This window comes from Homo sapiens, chromosome 3, assembly GCF_000001405.40.
Source record: "Homo sapiens chromosome 3, GRCh38.p14 Primary Assembly".
Taxonomy (NCBI): domain Eukaryota; kingdom Metazoa; phylum Chordata; class Mammalia; order Primates; family Hominidae; genus Homo; species Homo sapiens.
In genome coordinates this window covers 179,562,788-179,583,479 of record NC_000003.12, presented here as the reverse complement: position 1 = coordinate 179,583,479, position 20,692 = coordinate 179,562,788, and the positions used below count along the sequence as shown (strand labels likewise).

At 39.6% G+C, this 20,692-nt stretch overlaps 1 protein-coding gene and 1 long non-coding RNA gene across 4 annotated transcripts in view, besides 2 other annotated features; one reads left to right on the top strand and one right to left on the bottom strand.

Moving 5' to 3' along the window:
• The window catches only part of ACTL6A (actin like 6A), a 25,482-nt gene extending 4,928 nt beyond the window's left edge, over positions 1-20,554 (bottom strand). Inside the window, exons 1-12 of one of the 3 annotated variants that reach the window (NM_178042.4) lie at positions 20,315-20,554; positions 13,580-13,656; positions 13,239-13,413; positions 10,011-10,111; positions 9,013-9,110; positions 7,169-7,263; positions 6,754-6,860; positions 6,567-6,656; positions 2,779-2,840; positions 2,472-2,586; positions 2,260-2,340; positions 32-127 (exon numbers count right to left, since the gene is read on the bottom strand). In NM_178042.4, the coding sequence (NP_829888.1) occupies positions 32-127; positions 2,260-2,340; positions 2,472-2,586; positions 2,779-2,840; positions 6,567-6,656; positions 6,754-6,860; positions 7,169-7,263; positions 9,013-9,110; positions 10,011-10,111; positions 13,239-13,389 (996 nt within the window). In that variant the 5' untranslated portion in view covers positions 13,390-13,413; positions 13,580-13,656; positions 20,315-20,554. The remainder of the gene's footprint in view (positions 1-31; positions 128-2,259; positions 2,341-2,471; positions 2,587-2,778; positions 2,841-6,566; positions 6,657-6,753; positions 6,861-7,168; positions 7,264-9,012; positions 9,111-10,010; positions 10,112-13,238; positions 13,414-13,579; positions 13,657-20,314) is intronic. The other 2 variants (NM_004301.5, NM_177989.4) reach the window with 2 other exon arrangements.
• On the top strand, positions 6,634-11,957 carry LOC124909462 (uncharacterized). Its single transcript, XR_007096181.1, has 2 exons — positions 6,634-6,718; positions 11,710-11,957. It is a non-coding gene; the product is annotated as an uncharacterized LOC124909462 (long non-coding RNA).
• Positions 17,674-17,733: a silencer, noted in NCBI's record as "silent region_14921". NCBI's record gives its function as "represses an Ori minimal core promoter by ATAC-STARR-seq in GM12878 lymphoblastoid cells {active_cell/tissue: GM12878}" and the evidence as "EXISTENCE:reporter gene assay evidence [ECO:0000049][PMID:35858748]".
• Positions 20,463-20,692: a silencer, noted in NCBI's record as "silent region_14920". NCBI's record gives its function as "represses an Ori minimal core promoter by ATAC-STARR-seq in GM12878 lymphoblastoid cells {active_cell/tissue: GM12878}" and the evidence as "EXISTENCE:reporter gene assay evidence [ECO:0000049][PMID:35858748]".

Here is a 20,692-nt window from a genome sequence, read left to right as displayed (position 1 = left end):
AGAATACCATTAAAGAACAAACAGAACTTACTGGAGGAGTTTTCTGAGACAGCTCTCTATTCAACCTGTCAGTAAAACTCTGTATTAGTGTGTTTCCTCCTGCCACTATTACACTGCCATAGAGACCCTAGGATAAAAATACAAGAAAAATCAATTAGTTCCATATGTTTCCAAAAGTTTTAAATACAACTACAAATATAACCATGTGCTCTACTACAATTTCCCTTTCGTTTTTTGGAAATGTTTTACTATTATATAGAACTAATAGCTTAATCCATCAATTCTCCATCCTGGCTGTACATTCAACTCATCTAAGGAGCTTTTAAAACACAAATTCCTAGGGGCAATTAAATAAAAATGTCTGGGGATGGGATCCAGGCAAGGTTACTTTTAGAGACGGGGTCTCGTTATATTGCCTACATTGGAATGCAGTGGCTATTCACGGGCACAGGCATAGCGTACCACAGCCTCAAACTCCTGGGTTCAAACAATCCTGCCTCAGGCTCCCAAGTAGCTGGGACTACATGCCACTGTACCTGGCAGGCATGGTTTTTAACTCCCAAGATTATTTTAATGTGTACAAAGTTTTAAGAACCACTAACTTAAAGGAATCATTCTAAAAATCATAATTTTTTTTTGGCAGATAGCTGCCAATATTTAATTAGAAGTACATTTTATAATGACTTTATCTTAGAATGCTCATCTGGAAATATTAATAGCAACCACCAGCCAAAAATTAAAATTACAAATATTTTGAAAAAGAATGCTTATCTGTAAGTTAGGATATTCAAAGAATGCTCATCTGGAAATATTAATTGCAACCACCAGCCAAAAATTAAAATTACAAATATTTTGAAAAAGAATGCTTATCTGTAAGTTAGGATATTCAAAATTAGACAATTATTTTATGATTATGACAGACAATGATAAACTCTGAACATATTCCTCGCCAAAATTATTGCTACTTTTCTCTTTTGCAGAGGTAAGCATCAGAAGCACATGGGAGCTTTTCCAAAACACATATGCTAAGCCCTTCCCAAATAAAAATAAATTACTACTTATAAGCAGTGTATTTACTTTGAATTTGCATGTATGCATCAGAAAGTTAAATGTCAAACTGTTTTAGTGGGTAAGTTCCTATTTTTAAAACATACTTCAAATGTCTAAATCATCTAAATTTTGAAGTAGAAAATGGAATGCAAAAGTATCTCATTAGTTAAAAGGAGAAACTTCACTAAAAACAGTTATCACTGTTGCAATAAATATACTTCAATTCAATTACCTTCCCCGAAAGGTGGAATTGTATTTGCGCTAAAAAAATCCCAAACTTATACTACTATTGTCCTAGAAACATCACATGCCTACTAGGTTACCAGGTGAAATAAAGGTAAAATAAAGTATGATTTTCATAGCCACTCAAAGCCTTTTTTGAATAACATAGTAGTTATTAGCACTATGCTTTAAGCAAATTAATTTACTCAAAATCTAGGCAGTATGTGGGTGATAAGCTGAATTGGGTTTAAATAAGATAAAGTAAGTCCTCATTTAATGTCATCAATATGACCTTGGAAACTGACTTTCAGCAAAATGTCATGTAACAAAACCAATTTTTTTCCTGAAACAATGTCCTTCAAGGACCTACTGTACATCGTTTCAGTTAAAGTTGCAGTCTCCAAGAACCTATCACTGATAATGAGTGAAGTATATAATATGGAGTTAGTATTTAAAACCTGACAAAGCACAAAAAATATGAAGAGCATTTAAAATAAACTTCATGTAAAAGTTACTCATATAATTTAAACCACGCCTTCCTGAAAAATAAAAGTAGAAGTTGTGCTATCTGTAAGAAAATCACCAACAATACATATTTTGGTTTGCCACATTTCAGGAAATCTCTAGCGCAGTCTACAATAACTTTCTGTGATGATGCAAATGTTCTATATCTGCGCTGTCTGATGCAGCCACTAGCCACATTTATAATGAGGCTACTACAACTGAAGAATTGAGTTTTATGTTTTTATCTATTTTAAATTTAAATTGCCACATGTGGCGGGTAGCTACAAAACTGGACACCATAGCTCTAGAGTTTCACATTTTTCCTTTTCTAGTACTTCATCTTTTTACATATACTGTTATAAAATGAACCTCAAAGTCAATGACACTGACAACCATTAGATCACTGTCAACCTAACAATGATTTGGGGACATTTCAGTCCCCTAAAAGATACCTTTAAACCGTAACAGGAGACTGGCACTTACTGGTCTGATGTCAATATCACACATCCCAACACTTGTGGTGACAACATGACTGACTCCTAACATTGTGTTTCCTGATAACCCCTACAACAAAAGAAAACAAGTAGTCACATGGAAGCTCTTCATACAGTAAAGCATATCCAAAACATTTTAGCCACAAAAGCTCTTTACCTATATAGGAAAAGCCAGGCTAATTATGAAATAAGCTTTTATACCTTTACATTGGAAGGGTCAAATAATCCTTCTGGAATCTTTAGCCGCTCTGCACCAAAATCACAATTGTAGCCATTGGGGAATTCATAATGAACAGTTGGCATCTGTGCAGCCACTCTGAAAACATATTAAACCGTATTACACAAAAGACAAAAAATAATTCTCTTCAAAATTATAAACTACTAGGGAATTATAAACTTGTAAAAAAAAAAAAGGGAGTGAGAATATTTTAAACATTATTCAATTAAGTATTTTTTAAACAAATCCTTTCCTCATTTATAAAGTATACATTTTAATAAGAAAACATACTGTTCATCATAAGTTGAATCTGACACTTGAAGTACCGAAGCTTGAAAATCCTGGATAACACACTGTGAGTAAAAGAAAAAAGTAACAAACAAGGTTGAGATTTATCTTTGTAATCTATACTTTTATAACATATTTTAAATACTTTTCTGAATGAAATTGGACCATGTTTCTAGATGGGTAAATCATTTCAAGAGTATAAATGTACCTAACAAGGATTCTGAGTATCAAGAAACCTAATTCTAATCATTTGCATTAGAAGTTAATTACACACATTTAAGTTACAACAGTTATGAAATGAGAGATAAATAACTGCAGGTGCAGGAACCCCTGCACCACAGTTCTGCATAACAAAACCAATTTCAGAACACCACTTTCTCCTTAAAAATAAGCTAGATTAGAAGCAAGATTTCATTACCTACATATACACATGTGCATGTACATCACATTTTATGCAACTTTTAATGACTGTACATAGTATAAAACAGTTTAATAAAATGTTGTGAACTAACACGACCTCTAGAAAAATCTTGTCTAATATCTAGGAAAAATGACTAATCATCCTAATTTTTCCTCGTATATTACATGTGCACACAGACAAAATCTTTATCTTTAGGTGCAAAAACTGTCAGAGCTGGATGCAGTGGCTCATACCTGTAATCTCAGCACTTTAAGAGGCCGAGACAGGAGGATCGCTTGAGGCCAGGAGTTCAAGACCAGCCTGGGCAACATAGCGAGACACTGTCTCTATAAAAATAAAAAATTAGCCAGGCATGGTGGCATGCACCTGTAGTCCTCCCTACTGAGGAGGCTGAGGCAGGGGGAGCCCAGGTGTTTGAGACTGCAGTGAACTACAACTGCACCACTGCACTCCAGCCTGGGTGACAGAGAGAGACCCTGTCTTTATTTATTTTTTGAGACAGAGTCTTGCTCTTGTCGTCCAGGCTGGAATGCAGTGGCACAATCTTGGCTCAATGCAACCTCCATCTCCCATGTTCAAGCAATTCTCCTGCCTCAGCCTCCCAAGTAGCTGGGATTACAGGTGCTCAGCACCAAACCCAGCTAATTTTTGTATTTTTAGTAGAGATGGGGTCTCACCATGTTGGCCAGGATAGTCTTGAACTCCTTGCCTCAAGTGATCCACTGCCTTGGCCTCCCAAAGTGCTGGCATTACAGGCATGAGCCACCGTGCCCAGCCAACCCTGTCTTTAAAATGTGTGTGTGTGTGTGTGTGTGTGTGTGTGTGTGTATATGATATAAATAAAATAATTTTTAAAAAACCTGTTAGATATGATCCCTCTCATAGTAAATTATGACTCATATAATTTTACTCTTAGTTTCTTTTGCTGGATACACATTAATTTCTATCAACAGAGTAAGCAAACAACCTACAGAATAGGAGAAAATATTTGCAAACTATGTATCTAACAAAGGTCTAATACCTAGCTTCTATAAGGAACAACAACAACAAAAAGCCTCATTAAAAAGTGGGCAAAGGACACTAATAGACACTTCAAAAGAAAACATACATGCGGCCAACAGCATATGAAAAAAAGCTCAATATCACTGACCATCAGATAAATGAAAATCAAAACCCCAATGATACACCATCTCACACCAGTCAGAATGGCTATTATTTATTATTAAAAAGTGAAAAAATAGGGCCGGGCACAGTGGCTCACGCCTGTAATCCCAGCACTTTGGGAGGCTGAGGCGGGTGGATCACAAGGTCAAGGGTTAGAGACCAGCCTGGCCAACTAAGAATACAAAAATTAGCCAGGTGTGGTGGCACACACCTGTAGTCCCAGCTACTCAGGAGGCTGAGGTAGGAGAATTGCTTGAACCCAGGAGATGGAGGTTGCAGTGAGCCGAGACTGCACCACTGCGCTCCAGCCTGGGTGACAAAGCAAGACTCTGTCTTGAAAAAATTAAATAAATAACAGATGCTGCTGACACGGCTGCAGAGAAAAGCGAACGTTTATTCACTTTTGGTGAGAATGTAAATTAGTTCAACCATTGTTGAAAGCCATGTGGCAATTCCTCAAAGAGCTAAAAACAGAACTACCATTTGTTTTTTTTTCTTTTTTGAGATGGGTTCTCACTCGTTACCCAGGCTAGAAGGCACTGGTACAATCACAGCTCACTGCAGCCTCGACCTCACAGGGCTCAGGTGATTCTCCCACCTCAGTCTCCCAAGTAGCTGGGACTAAAGGTGCACACCCCCACACTTAGCTAATTTTTCTTTTTCTTTGAAATGGAGTCTCACTCTGTCGCCCAGGCAGGAGCGCAGTGGCACCGTGTTGGCTCACTGCAACATCCATCTCCTGGGTTCAAGCAATTCTCCTGCCTCAGCCTCCCAAGTAGCTGGGATTACAGGCACCCACCACCACACCCAGCTAATTTTTTTATATTTTTAGAGACAGGGCTTCACCATGTTGGCCAGGCTGGTCTCCAACTCCTGACCTCAGGTGATCCACCCGCCTCGGCCTCCCCAAGTGCTGGGATTACAGGCGTGAGCCACTGCACCCGGCCCCACTTAGCTAATTTTTCTGTTTTTGTAGAGACAGGGTTTTGCCATGTTTCCCAGGCTGGTCTCTAACTCCTGAGCTCAAGGGATCCACCCACCTCAGCCTCTCAAATTACAGGCGTGAGCCACCATGCCTGGCCCAGAACTACCACTTGACCTGGCAATCTCATTACTGGGTATATACCCAAAGGAATATAAATCAGTTTATCATAAAGACACATGTATGTGTATGTACACTGCACCACTATTCACAATAGCAAAGACATGGAATCAACTTAAATGCCCGTCGGTGGAAGACTGGATTAAGAAAATGTGGTACATACAGACCACAGAATATTATGTAGTGAAAAAAAAAAAAAAAGAATGAGATCATGTCCTTTGAAGGAACAGGGATGGAGCTGGAGGCCATTATCCTCAGCAAACTAATGCAGGAACAGAAAACCAAATACAGCACGTTCTCACTTACAAGTGAGAGCTAGATGATGAGAACACATGGACACAAAGAAGGGAACAACAGACAGTTGGACCTCCCTGAGGGACGAGGGAATGGAGCAGAAAAAATAACTATTGGGTACTAGGCTTAGTACCTGGGGGACAATAATCTGTACAACAAACTTCCGTGACATGAGTTTACCCATTTAACAAACCTGCACATGTACCCCTGAACCTAAAGTAACAGTTTTTTTTTGTTTTTTTTTTAAGAAATTAAGGCGTATCTGTGGCATCAGGTTGTTTTACTAACCTCTTCCCCATCAGTAAGCCATATGTTCAGAGATGGGTTTTTAGTAAAGAGAATCTCTCATGGGTTCCTTGTTCTGAACAAAAACACATTTTTGATATTGCTGACTGATGCTGGGAAACAGAACATAACTGAGACATACTAGTAGGCCTCTACAAAACCTAAAACCATTTTCTCAGCCAAAAATGTTCAGAATAGCATAAAACCAAAATTCCTTCCAGGTCTCACCATAGTAATCCAAGTGAGTATGTAGTAATTTGTAGAGATTTGTTTGGCAAGTATGAAAAGCATGCCTCTCACAGAAAAGCTCTTTTGTTAGTAAAATATCATTAAAAATATAGAGTGTGACCCTGAGATCATGTTCTATTTAATCTTCAAAATGTATTTAGTAATAAAAAAAATAAAGAGCTTGAAAATATAAAGTGCCCATATTTTACTCAAGGATTTACAGCCTATATATAACTTTTTTTAATACTCATGCAAAAAGCCTGTAACATTTTTGTAAAGAGAATGAGGGTTACTTACATTACACATATAATTGTGCCAAGACCTCGTAACCTGAGGCAACTTCTCTTTTCTTTTCCAGTTTGCTGGAGATCCTTCACGAACAGCTTCCTGAGAGTACCAAGAGATGCTAGGTTAATGGAGTTCACTTCATAGGGGTGGGGGAGCTAGAAGTAAGTTCTACAAAGAAAATTCAATAATTACTTACTTTTGATGCAATCATATATGGAGGAACCAATTCAATATTCATTTCTTGGAAGAGTTCTCTGCACTGCATAGTAATAAAGTCTCCAGCAAGAGGGGATTTCACAATGCCTATGAAACAGATGAAACAAGGCTAAGAGGGCAGTAAGTCCAAACTTCCTTGAACGAATTTCCTCTGTGGGTGTATTTATGTGAATAACTTTTTCAGGTAGAATGAACTGAACTATCCTTCAACACATAAATAAAGCCATGCATCAGTTTTAAATATACATTATATACTAAAGATTTTTAACATACTTAAAAAAAATCTTATTCAGAAACTGATATGCTTTAATAGTGCTACTCATCATTTTATTTCATTATGTGCATCCTCATGGCATCTAAAATCATCTCAGTGTATCCTGGTTAAATACATTTACCTTGTTGAAGGACATAGCCATCGTGGACTGGAATTGCAGTGGTATGAGTGGCTCCACTGTCCAAAATCAGCCCAGTAGAACGACCATTAGCAAATCTAGTTTAAAACATTAAGGAAAAGAAAGTATCAAGGCCGCTAAAATAATGTTTATTGTAAAGGGCAGGCTCTTATAATGTTTCAGAAACTATTTCTTAAACATGTACCTTATAGTTAAAAATGTATTACAGTGAATCTAGGGATAAAAATTGGTATAAAATAATATTTCTGGCTTAAAAACAAATAGTAAGAGGCAGGAATTCCAGAATGGAGGTATCAGGCACTCAGGGAAACCTTTATCCTAGGAACAGCTACTATTAAGCTGGTCAAAATTAACACAATCACTAAAAGTCTCTGGAGACTGATCAAAGAGCTTACAACAAACTGAGATGCATTTATTTAACAAAATATACAGAAACTTGGTAAGAACAGTGGGAGGTTGTGATAATTGAGCTAGGGACTATAACCATTCTCACATAGCATTGAAAAAGAGCTGTTTCAGCAGTTTGGCAGCCATATGGCAGTTCCTATCTCCTCCAACTCAATGAGCGGGAAAACTATTCCAGGTGAATTCCACAGTTGGTAAATATTGGCAGATCCCATTTTCCACAGTTCTGTGCTGCAGATGGCCTATACTACCTGAATATACTAAACTGATGTTTAGGAGTAGGGACATTCACTCATTCATCAAATATTTACTGAGCATCTATTAGGTGTCTACTAAGTCTGGTGCTTAATAAGGAGGGAGGGAGGAAGGAGGGAGGCTGCTCACCTGGCACTAAAATTCCTTTAACACAGTAGACACACAATGGTGCACCAAAACTGCCTTTTCCCTGAAGGTTATCCTGTTTAGTGAAGTAGATGATGAATAAAGCTGTAAAAAGAAAAGCTCAGGATGTCCCAGGGAAGATGGTGATGTAAAAGGGAAACCTATTCCTGAGATATTCAATAGTAAAATCTGGGGAAGGGAATATGGGCAAGAGTAGGAGCATGTGGGAAGACCAAGAAGCAAGAGAACACAGCGAGGTCAGAGAACTGCAAGTACCTCAGCACGGTCTGAAAGTAAAATAAAGGAAGAAATGTAGAAGACGATTCTGGCTTAAAGCAGACTAGCACTTTAGAAAGATTATTAGAGGCTGGGCACGGTGGCTCATGCCTGTAATCCCAGCACTTTGGGAGACTGAGGCAAGCATATCGCTTGAGTCCAGGAGTTCGAGAGCAGCCTGGGCAACATGGCGAAACTCCATCTCTACCAAATAAATAAATAAATAAAAATAGAAAGATTATTAGAGCAACAGCGTAAAGAATGGGCAGACAAGAGGACGTGCTTCAGTAATCCTGGAAATAGCTTCCACCTAATGCTGTGGCAGTAGGACAGAGAGAAGCAAATAGCAGGGAAGAACAGGCAGGATTTGATGACTGACTAAATTTGAAGGAGAATGAATTTACAGCCAATTTCCAGTTTTCTATGATATTGGAAGGGAAGGAGATTTTAAAATGGCAATCTTTCAATTCACCTAAGCCAACTGGTTAAAACATTGCCTTCTATCCACATGCCCCTTCTTAAAAACAAAAACAAAAACGTCTTAACACTCAGAATTTGAGTGTTATTTTATTTCCCTCATACCTTCTGGTGTATCATCAGTTCTAACAAGAAATACTAAAAGATGAATAGCTAAAAAGCAAGAGAAAAGGGAAAAAAACAACTTCGGAACAAGCAATAATTGGCGTATGTCTTCTCCCAGAGTTATCATATTCATTAGTATCGTACATACTTCAAGAGGAAAGGTATTACTCTTTCAAGGATACGCTGTCAAAACTGCAGTTTTGCAAAGGAAGAAGGCAGGGATGTTGTAGTGTTCAAACATTAACTCTGTCAGTTTCTCTCTCTTTGCTCTAGTATTCCACTTGAGAAGAGGGGAAAAAGAAATGCAAGTTATTAAGAATTAAAAAGTTGATTTATCTCCAGATAAAATCTAGCACTATATTAACAAAGATATAAAACATTAAGAACAGAATAAAATACCATGGGAAATCATCTTTCATAATATCTCATAAAAATAAAAAAACCTCTATAATATTTATTTCTTTAGATGTAGATTAAATTTAATAAATCTATCAGAGAAGAATTAAAATTCTTTAATAATAAAATTGCTCCTGACTTTTCCACATATGAGGAAACCAGGATTCTTATAAACATATTATTAAATCTAAAGAGTAAATATGGTAATCCAAATCCTAAGTATGAATTTTAGACCACCAAATTCTCCCACTTATAGTTGGTATTCATAAAAGAATACTGTAAGTTAGTAACAATAAGATACTGATAATTTATGACCATTATGCTTGCTTTCTGGGACCTTTTTGTCTATGTACCAAATGTATTTCACAAGAGACTTTGGTCCAGAAATTTCCAGCCCTTGTTCAACATCTCAATTCTTTCTTGGAAACTTGAATAAAAGTAGATATACGCTGCCCTTGGGGCACAAGAAATGATTCATAATTCAAAATGGGAAGCAGTCCTAGGAAATAAAATGTTAAACAAATCCCTAGAAATACATAAATAACCACAAGAATCCATTAGGGTGTTTTGTTGTTCTCTGGATATTTTATTTATTGGAATAGTAAAATAAAAGTTATAATAGTGTTAAAAAATTAATCCTTTTCCCTAATTTTCAAATTCAAAATATGAATTTCTATGCCTCTTTAAAGAAAAATGTTCATCAAATGAGTAGAAAACTAAAGGAAAAAAAAAAGAAAAAAAAAAAACAACTAGAGAAACGTGAAAAAGAAAATCTTTATCTCACCGGTGCCTCTGACATGAGAACAGGATGGAGACTGGCTTCTGATTTGACATGCATTTTGTAGGTATGATCCAAAATAGCTTGGAAACTATCCCAGTCTTCAACTAGAATATAAGATTAGTAACTTGGAAATAATGCATAGTTGAAGATGAATATAGCATCTTTTGAGAAATTGTTTCTATGACTTAACAATTAATACTTTAGTATACAGAACCTACTGATTTTACAGATCAACTTCATACCACATTACTTTATATAGAGATTACCTTTGCCTTCTAGATATATAGAACTTCTTTTTGGTCCCTCCAGCCCCCAGACCTGTCCCAAATGTAATTAATCTAACAGACCTAAAATATGAAGTAAATGTTATTCAATTCAATAAATACTTATTAGAGGCCCAGAATGTGATCAGAATGATAATAGGAAGTACAGAAGAATTGTATGGCCTTCTGATGATACTACTGCTGGATTTATAAAAAAAAAAAAAAAAGAAAGAATTGTATGGTCTAGACCCGACACTCAAAAAAACTTACAATCTATTTGGAAAAAGACTAAAAGACATGTTAAAAATTCAAAGAAGAGCATCTGTCTTCAATTTGGCTTCCACCTAAACATTCCATTAAAACTACTGACATAAGTCACTAATGACCTTCTTTTTTCTTTTTTTTGAGATGGAGTCTCGTTCTGTCCCCCACACTGGAGTGCAATGGCACAATCTCAGCTCACTGCAACCTCCGCCTCCTGGGGTCAAGCAATTCTCCTCCCTCAGGCTCCCGAGTAGCTGGGATTACAGGTGCCCGCCACCGTACCCAACTAATTTTTGCATTTTTAGTAGAGACAGGGTTTCACCATGTTGGCCAGGCTGGTCTCGAACTCCTGACCTCAGGTGATCCACCCACCTCAGCCTCCAAAGTGCTGGGATTACAGGCGTGAGCCACCGCCCCCAGCCACTAATGACCTTCTACTAGGCAAATTCATGGATACTTAACATTTTTAATCTCATCTGACTTCTCTAAATTATGACAGTATTGCCTACACAAGAGTTTACAAACTTTTCTGTCACAGCCCAAAGAAAAAATGTCATTAATTATATATTTCCACAGGCCCACCTGGATTTTTTTAACTTCTTTCTTAGTGTAAAGCTTTCAATGTCACAGCAGAAAACACCGAGAATAACTGGAATTTTATGCTTCCAGAAACTTTTTCTTTTCTTGTTCTTCCCCTGCTTTTTTTCCTACATCCCTAATTGTTCCCTTTCTTTCTCCTTCAAGGGTACCTTTTATTCTCTATTGGTTAAAATATACAACAAGTTTTTGCTAGAACTCCATCTTCAATCCTCTTCTCATGTTCCAATTTTTTTCAGAGTAATAAAATGCAACTCCATGTCTTAAAATCTTTCTTATAACCTTTTATTCCCGTTTACTGAATTATCACCTGGATGTTCTAAGTACTTTGAACTCAGTGAACCCATTTACTTACTACACATGAAAGAGTTAACACTGCAAGCCTGAGAAAGGCCTGCTTGTAAGGCTGACTCTTAGCTGGTGTCTGGAAACATGACTGGCAAACAGTTCCCTATGTTCATATAAAACTTGTCCCTAAATGGTAAGGGTAGCTCGCTATACCTACACTGTTTATACAATGTGGTTTGTTCTGAACACTTGCTTTCCTTCTGAGAATCTAAAATTTTGTTACATGCCAGGTAGATGGTACCTACATAACCAGCCCTCTGTAAAATCCTTGGGTACTGAGCCTCAGAGTTCTCCTGGAAGGTAACACAGATCATAACTTGTTGCTGGAGGGATTAAGCACATCCTGTGTGACTCCACTGTGAGAAGACTCTCCAAAGCCTGTATCTGGACTTCATCATCCCCTGTCCCTTTTCCCTTTGTCGATTTTGTTTTGTATCTGAATCTTCAGTACAATAAATCTTAGCTGTGAATACAACCATATGCTGAGTCCTGTGAGTGAGTCTTGCTGGTGAATAATTGAACCTGAGAGTGATTTTGGCTATCCCTGATAAGCTTGTTTTTTTTTTTTGTTTTTTTTTTTGAGACAGAGTCTCACTCTGTCACCCAGGTTGGTGTGTAGTCATGAGATCTCAGCTGCAACCTCTGCATCCTGGGTTCAAGTGATTCTCATGCCTCAGCCTCCCAAGTAGCTGGAATTACAGGTGGTACGCATCACCACACCTGTCAAATTTTTGTATTTTTAGTAGAGATGGGGTTTCGCCATGTTGCCCAGGCTGGTCTCAAACTCCTAGACTCAAGCAATCCACCCACAGTCTCAGCCTCCCAAAGTGCTGGGATTATATAGGCGCGAGCCACCACGCATGGCCAACCATGCCTTTTAAAACCGTAACACTTGCTCCTTCCCTTTATATTCCTATCTCAATGCATGGTACTCTCTGTTCAGAGTTACCCCAACCAAAAATCTAGGAAACTTTCTCAACTTCTCTCTTGCTTTCACTCCCTCGATCATTTAGTACCATTTGTCTCCTGGTTACCCTGAAAGTCCCTTCAGAATCTCTACCAGCATTATATAATAGTTTAAACCTTTTTCATTTCTCATCTGGACTCTGACCATCACATCTGTTTAAATTCCTTTGGGGTTATCCTTCAGTCACTAGCTTAATACAACCCTGGGATGGTTTACAAGCCCTTTTATGACTGCTCCCTGCCTACCTTTCCTGCTACTGCTCTCTGCCTACCTTTCCTGCTACTGACCCTAATAAGCCCAATGCTGCAACCATACTTAATTGTATTACATTTTCAAGCACATAAGTTTCTTTCACAATTCCATCCCTTCACACATGCTGGTCCCTTTGCTTTACCCAGCTTTGTCAGCCAAGCTAATTCTTACTCATTGATCAAGATTCATCATGTTACCTCCTTTGTGAAAACCATCACTGACTCCCAACACTAGAGTCAAATACCTCTCCTCTCTAATCCCATTGCTCATTGCACATACCTATATTGTACCACTTATCCCACAGTGTACCATTATTTGTATATATACATCTATTTCCCCCAACTAACTGTAAGCTTTTAATGAAAAGGAACATTTCTTATGCATCTTTGTATTCTCAGTGTCTGGAAATCAGTTTGTGGAATAAAAAACAAAACAAAACAAAAAACCATGGTTGATGTTCAACTTATAGGAAGCTACTACTTTGTATCTAAAATATAACATGTACACTCCATAATCAATTCCATGGGGAAAACATCATACCCATCCCATTTTTTAGAGGTGAAATGGCCTCCATATTCTCCCTCGGAACACGCAGAGCATTAGTATCTATGTAGTAGGTGGGACCGCCTTGTTTGCCTTTATCGCCATCTATTTCCATTAATGTGCTTCCGTCATCTCTTTCTACCACCATACCAATAGCTGTAGGAAAATCCACCTGTAAGAGTCAGAAACATGACATACAAGTTTCACCTTTCATCAAGAAGGCATTTTTTCCCCAATTAATGTATTTTATTATATTTTGTTTTGAATCAGAATTTCTGCATAAATTTAATTTACATGAATGGCTTTACATATCCAATTAACTCTAACATTACACTTACCTTGGGGCAGTCCTCACCAGCATAACCAGCTCTCACAGTATAGGATCCAATGTCAAAAACAAGGGCTCCAACTTCATCTGAAAAGATTAAAGATAATTAGCATTAACAGCTTGCAAAAGTATCATATGAAAATCACAGCTCACTGCAGCCTCAACCTCCTAGGCTCAAGCAATCCTCCCGCCTCAGTCTTCCAAATAGCTGGGACTACAATGAATTTCTTAAATTTTTTGTAGACATAAGGTCTCACTATGTTGCCCAGGCTGGACTCAAACTCCAGGGCTCAAGCAATCCTCTGCCTCAGCATCCCAAAGTGCTGCAGGCATGAGCCACTGCACTCAGCCCAATTATATTCATATTATTACTCACTTGAACCTAGTTTCAAATACACCTTAAAGAATCATTTAATTAAAATATAACAAGGCATACACCGTATTTAAGTAGAGGTTCAATCAGTTAAGAAATGGTACACTAAAACTGGGTAATTTCAGTTTACTTATTAAAGGGAATTATTTGCAAAGATATAGGTGAAATACAGGACAACCAGAAGGGACAGTACAGTACCCCAGTACTATAATGATAACTAATAATAATGGATCCATTGCCATTCTTCAAACTGAAGAAACAAGAAGAAATAACTGTTATCAGAATCTGGAGAGAAAGTTGTATGGGGAGGGCTACCTGACAGGAGCTGTGACTTTTAGTAGAGGGGATGCAGTTAGCCATGGATTACCCTGAGGTGAATGAACCAGGCTAATAAATATACCAGCAACCTCCCTCCACCATCAACTAGGGTGATTCTATAATTTATTGTCCAAAGTGGGACAACCACTATGGGCAATTTAGTCATATCTATTAAAGTTGAAATTGTGCATACATAGAATTACACTTACTTATTCTGGAGACACTCTCTCATACAGGTTGCAAGGAGACATGCAAAAGAATGTTCAACAGCTACAAGAACTGAGCAATTTATTAACCTCTCTGCTTCAGTTTCCTAATATGTAAAATGTACATAATAGCTCTTATCTCACAGGATACTCTAATGATTAAACATGTTAAGTGCTTTCATGTATATGAAGTCTTAGAAAATACACATGCTAAGTGTAAGCTGCTATTATAATTGACACACTGCTTGCCATAGGAAAAGGCAGAAATAATCTAATGGTCTCTCAGCAGGGAAATAGATAAGCAATAATATATTCACACAATGGAATCCTGTACAGCAGTTCAAATGAACACTTTAGATCTACATATGTCAGCATCAATAAATCTAAAAGAATGCTTAGTTTTAAAAGCTAGTTATCAAAAAACCATATGTATACACATACATATATACACATATACACACACACACACGTCTCAAAAAAAAAAAAGAAAATATGCATGGGGTCTGGGAATGTTACATACCAACTTCAGTTCAGTGGTTACATGAACTGAAGAAGGGAGAGAGAGGAAATCTGTATCAATAACATTTTTATTCTTAAAATATCTGAGGTATTAATATGGCAAAATATGACATCTATTTAATCTCACTGGTGAATGCAGTATTGTATTACATACAAACTTACAGGTGATTACAGTAATATCACATACAAACTTACATATTTTTAATATGTTTAAAATATTTCAAAAACTTAAAATTTTTAAAATCAAACCCATTACTTTGCAAGTATCAGTTAAGAGACAGTAGCTTTGCAGAATGATCTCTTTTTTTTTTTTTTTTTTTGACACGGAGTCTTGCTGTATTGCTGCCCAGGCTGGAGTGCAGTGGCGTGATCTCGGCTCACTGCAACCTCTACCTCCCAGGTTCAACAGATTTTCCTGCCTCAGCCTCCTGAGCAGCTGGGACTACAGACGCGCACCACCATGCCCAGCTAATTTTTGTATTTTTAGTAGAGATGGGGTTTCACCATATTGGCCAGGCTGGTCTCAAACTCCTGACCTCGTGATCCACCCGCCTTGGCCTCTCAAAGTGCTGGGATTATAGGTGTTAGCCACCGCGCCCAGCCTCTCATTTTTATTCAAATAAAACAGAGACATATTTTAATTTCTAATATAAAAGAAAGTTTACGTATTTGTTACATTTCTCAAGATAATTAACCCTTCCCTGTGAAATTCTCTGGTCCAAATTATTTTGTCAGAAACTAGGGGGTCCTTAAAAGGAGAACACTGTATTTGTTTTCACCACAGCACCTAAACTTGAGTACAAATCGTAAGTATAGCAATGAATATGAGTTGGTAAAATTTAATACTTTTATTAACCAGAATGCTGGGTAAAGAGATATCCTAATTAAATGAATTAATTGTATAGTTAACCAAAAATTTCAACTTCTGTTCCTCAAGGATTTATCTTTTGCCCTGCGCCAGGAGCCCTTAACCTGTTCTGTGTTATGGACCCTTATGACAGTGTTGTGGACTGAATTGTGTCGCCCTAAAATTCATATGTCAAAATCCTAACCCCTAGTACCTCAGAATGTGACTGTACTTGAAACCAGAGTCTTTATTCTTTATTTATTTATTTATTTTTATGTTTTGAGACAGAGTTTCACTCCTGTCGCCCAGGCTGGGGTGCAATGGCACAATCTCAGCTCATTGCAACCTCCACCTCCGGGGTTCAAGTGATTCTTCTGCCTCAGCCTCCTGAGTAGCTGGGATTACATCTGCTGGCCACCAAGCCCGGCTAGGTTTTATATTTTTAGTAGACATGGGGTTTCACCATGTTGGCCAGGCTGGTCTCAAACTCCACACCTCAGGTGATCCACTCGCCTTGCCCTCCCAAAGTGCTAGGATTATAGACGTGAGCTACCATGCCCGGTGAAACCAGAATCTTTGAAGAAGTAATTAAGTTAAAATGAAATCATTAGATTGGGTCCTAATCCAGTATGAGTGATGTTTTTAAGAGAAAATTCAGGCAGGGCGCGCGGTGGCTCACACCTGTAAGCCCAACACTTTGGGAGGCAGAGGCGGGCAGATTACGAGGTCAGGAGATCAAGACCATCCTGGCCAACATGGTGAAACCCCAACTCTACCCAAAATACAAAAAATTAGCCGGGCGTGGCCGTATGCACCTGTAGTCCTAGCTACTCTGGAGGCCGAGGCAGGAGAATTGCTTGAACCCGGCAGGCGGAGGCTGCAACGAGCTGAGATCGTGCTACTGCACTCCAGCCTGGGTGACAGAGCAAGTCTCAGTCTCAAAAACAACAACAACAACAACAACAACAAAAAGAGAAAATTCAGACTTGGACTTGTACAGAGGGACGGCCATGTGAAGACAGAGGAGGAGATGGCCATCTACACACAGAGACAGACCTCAGAAGAAACCAACTCTGCTGACACTTAGATCTACCTCTATCCTCTAGAATTGTGAGAAAACTAATTTCTGTTGTTTAAGCCACACAGACTGTGGTACTTTATTATGGCAGCCCTACAAACTAATACAGTTTAGGAAATTATGAATCCCTTCTTAGAATGTTTTTAAATGTTTATAAAAGAAGCCAATTATAATAAAATATAGTTCTACCATGGAAACTTTGGGAAGGCCACAAACCCTATGTTAGGAGCTCCTTCCCTAATTTACCCTTTCCTGGGTAATATATTCTACTCCTATAGCTTCAACTTCTACCTAAATACTGATAATTCCAATTTCAAATCTCTCTCTCTCTCAAGCTCTAACCAGTGTCTACATCCATATCCTGAACTTTTCACTGTACATCAACATAATTGCATCTGATGCCTCATGGGTATCTCAAATTCAACACATCTGAAGCACTGCTGATCTCAGCATTGCCTAACACATTGCTGACCACCAGTCCACACTGGCAAAAATCTGAGAGTTTTTGTGAACACCTCCATCTTTCAAGTTCTGCCAAATATTTCTGCTAAGTATTTCTCAAATCCCCTCCTTTTTAATACCATTGCCACTGCCTTCAATCGAGCTCTTATCTCAACCGGGAAACTACAATTCCCTACAGATATTGTGCCTCCACCTCTTTGCCTCTTCAATCCACCCTTCCAACTGCTGCACTATGATCTTTCAATACTGTAACTGTCATTATTTTGGTACATAAATCCTTCAAAAAAAATTAGGGGGTGAATCATTCCGTGGTTTCTCATCACTGTATTTGATAAAATTTAAATCACTCTAGCCAGTTGAAATTCAAGGTGTAGCAAAATCTGGTAGCAGTCTCACTTCCTGCCTCATACACTAACTTACTGGGTAATATGTCATCTCCTGAACGCACCACATACTCTCACTCAGCTAACCTTTGCATATGCTGTCCCTTTCCACTCCTCCTCCATCATCCCCATTACCTCTATTGTAAAGTCCCTTGACTCCACCACACGGAATCAATAACTTTATTCTCTGAGCTACCTTTGCACTATATATATGTATATATAGGACATATATAACATATAATATATAATATATACAACATATATGTAATATATATAACATATATAACACACATATATATATGTTTGTTTTTGTTTTTTTTAGGATAGAGTCTCGCTCTGTCACCCAGGCTGGAGTGCAGTTCCAGGTTCGAGCGATTCTTGTGCCTCGGCCTCCCCAGCAGCTGGGACTCCAGGCATGCACCACCACGCCTGGCTAATTTTTGTATTTTTAGTAGAGACAGGGTTTTGTCATGTTGGCCAAGCTGGTCTTGAACTCCTGGCCTCAAGTGATCCGCCCGCCTCGGCCTCCCAAGGTGTTGGGATTACACCGCACCCGGCCCCTTCTACATATTGTTATCAATGAACATCTCTCATTGAATTACAGTTACCATTTCTGATCAATATAAGATGCTATCAACTACATGATGCACCACTATTTCCTGCATCACTAACAAAATAATATGGCAATTAAACTCTGCCACGCCAGCACTGTTAAGACATATTCTGACTGGGGGCAGTGGCTCAAACCTGTAATCCTAGCACTTTGGGAGGCTGAGGTGGGAAGACCGCCTGAGCTCAGGAGTTCAAGACCCATCTCTATTAAAAAAAAAAAAAAAAAAGACATATTCCAACTTCAGCTGTTTAAATGTGGGAAAAAATGTACAACGAAGAATCAGTGAAATACGGTGTCTATTTACCTAACAGACTCATCTACAAGACTGAGCTTCTTGATGACAAGAGCCTATACCTGCCACATAGCAAGTACTCAAAAAACATTTTTGTGAAATAGAAAAAATCCAACATATCAGCTCATTTTCCTGTCCTAATTAGTTTAGTAAACTGGATATGGTGGAATTTTAATTTAAGACTCTAAATTCTCAGAATTTTACATCTGTTCCTTTTCCAGGATGGGAGATACATCTAATTCCTGTACCCTGCTTCATTAAAAATCAAGCCCCATGAACCCAAAGTAGGAGAGTGGCCATGGGAGGCAGGAGGCTTAATAGAACCACAGAGTTCTGGATGTTTAAAACCTAGGATGCAATTTCTAGTCTATAAAAATCCTCAAGAATTGAACCTCTACTCTACTAAAAAGGCTTTTGTCTTTTTTGAGGATTTTAATGTTTTTCTCCTTCCAAGTTTAGGGGTGATGTGATTTTCTTGGGGAACATGAAGGAAAAATCTTATTTTTGTTGTTTCCTACCTGTAAAATGACATCCTTTATAGAAACAGCATCACTACTAGACACAGTAACAACAGCAATAGTCTGGATTTGTTTTCTGGGTCTCTAACTCATCAAACACAACCCAACACATGAATTATATGTATCAGTGTTTCGATTAACCTGCAGATCTTGCAAAAATGGAGGCTCTAAATCAGTAGATTCTGAATGACGCGTGAGATCCTGCATTTCTAACAGGCTTGCAGGTGATGCTGACACTGCTGGTCCATGGGCCAGACTTTAAGTGGCAAATGCAGCATTATTTCATTTAACCTTCATGCCCACCCCCATCGGCTAGGAATTATTCCATAAATGAGGCCTGAAGTTGGAAAGTTACATAAACTGCCCAAGACCAAAGCGCTTAATAAAGAGTGAGGTGGATATTTCAACCCAGGTCTGTAACCCCCGGCACCTGGTAATCTTCCTACCACACCACAGTCTAATCAAAGAAAGTGAAAAAATAACACGCCTAGGACCCCCAGCAAACTTTCTGGGCATCCTTAAATTACACGTGCTCCTGAATTGATCTCAAACAGACCCGCCCACGAGTCACTCTGGAGACTCCGCAGCCAAAAAACAGGCAAGAGTTACTGAAAGGTGAGGCAGCTCGCGCATGGGGCGCAGACGGGGAGGAGGCAGTACCCTAAGTGGCCGCCGCTTCCCTAGTCAGTTCTACGGCTTGAGGCTCGCTTTGCCACCTATGGGACACTCTGGGAACCCTCCGTCCACGCTTGCAAACCGCCGGGACCTTCCAAGTTTAGGCGGGCGCACACGCGTCCCGACACAGCTGAGTCCAGGAGGCACTCGGGGAGATGCGACCCTGGGGCGGTCACCCAAGCCGGGGCCCGGCGGCCGGCTAGACTGAGCCTCCCGCCCAGCCCCGAGGCTCCCTAGAGAACCGAGCGCGCACCCCAAAACCCTGCTCCTCCGGGGACAGAGGCAGGAAGAGGCCACAGAGAGCCGCCACTTCAGGGAGCCCGAGGAGCACGGCGAGCCGGGTGGGCTCCGGGGGCGGGCAGAGCGTGGGGCGGGGACGGGGCGGGGAGGCCGGGGTCCCGAGAGGGGGAGACCGGAAGGGAACGCCGGGGAGGGGAGGGCTGGGAGCGGCGGTTACAAACCCCACACGCCGAAAAGGCGCGCTCTCTCGTCCGGCCGCACTCACTCACCTCCCCCGTACACGCCGCCGCTCATGGCTGCTGCCGGCGCGACTCCTACCCTAAGGGCTAACTGGCGAAGTGACTGCAGTGGCCGCGACTGCGAGTCTCGAGGAGCGATAGCCCCTGACTCCCTTAACTTCCACCGCCACCCACCTCAGGCAACAAAGCGGCGTCCACACACCCCGGAGCTCAGCCACACTTGCTGGCTCCTCCTATCAGCCAATCACTAGGGTCCAGGCCTAAGTCTAGCCAATCAGAATGCGGCTGCGCCGCATCCCCGCCGCGGCCCAGCAGGTTTAGCCAATCGAAGGCAGCCATGGGGGCGGGAAAGAGGAAAGC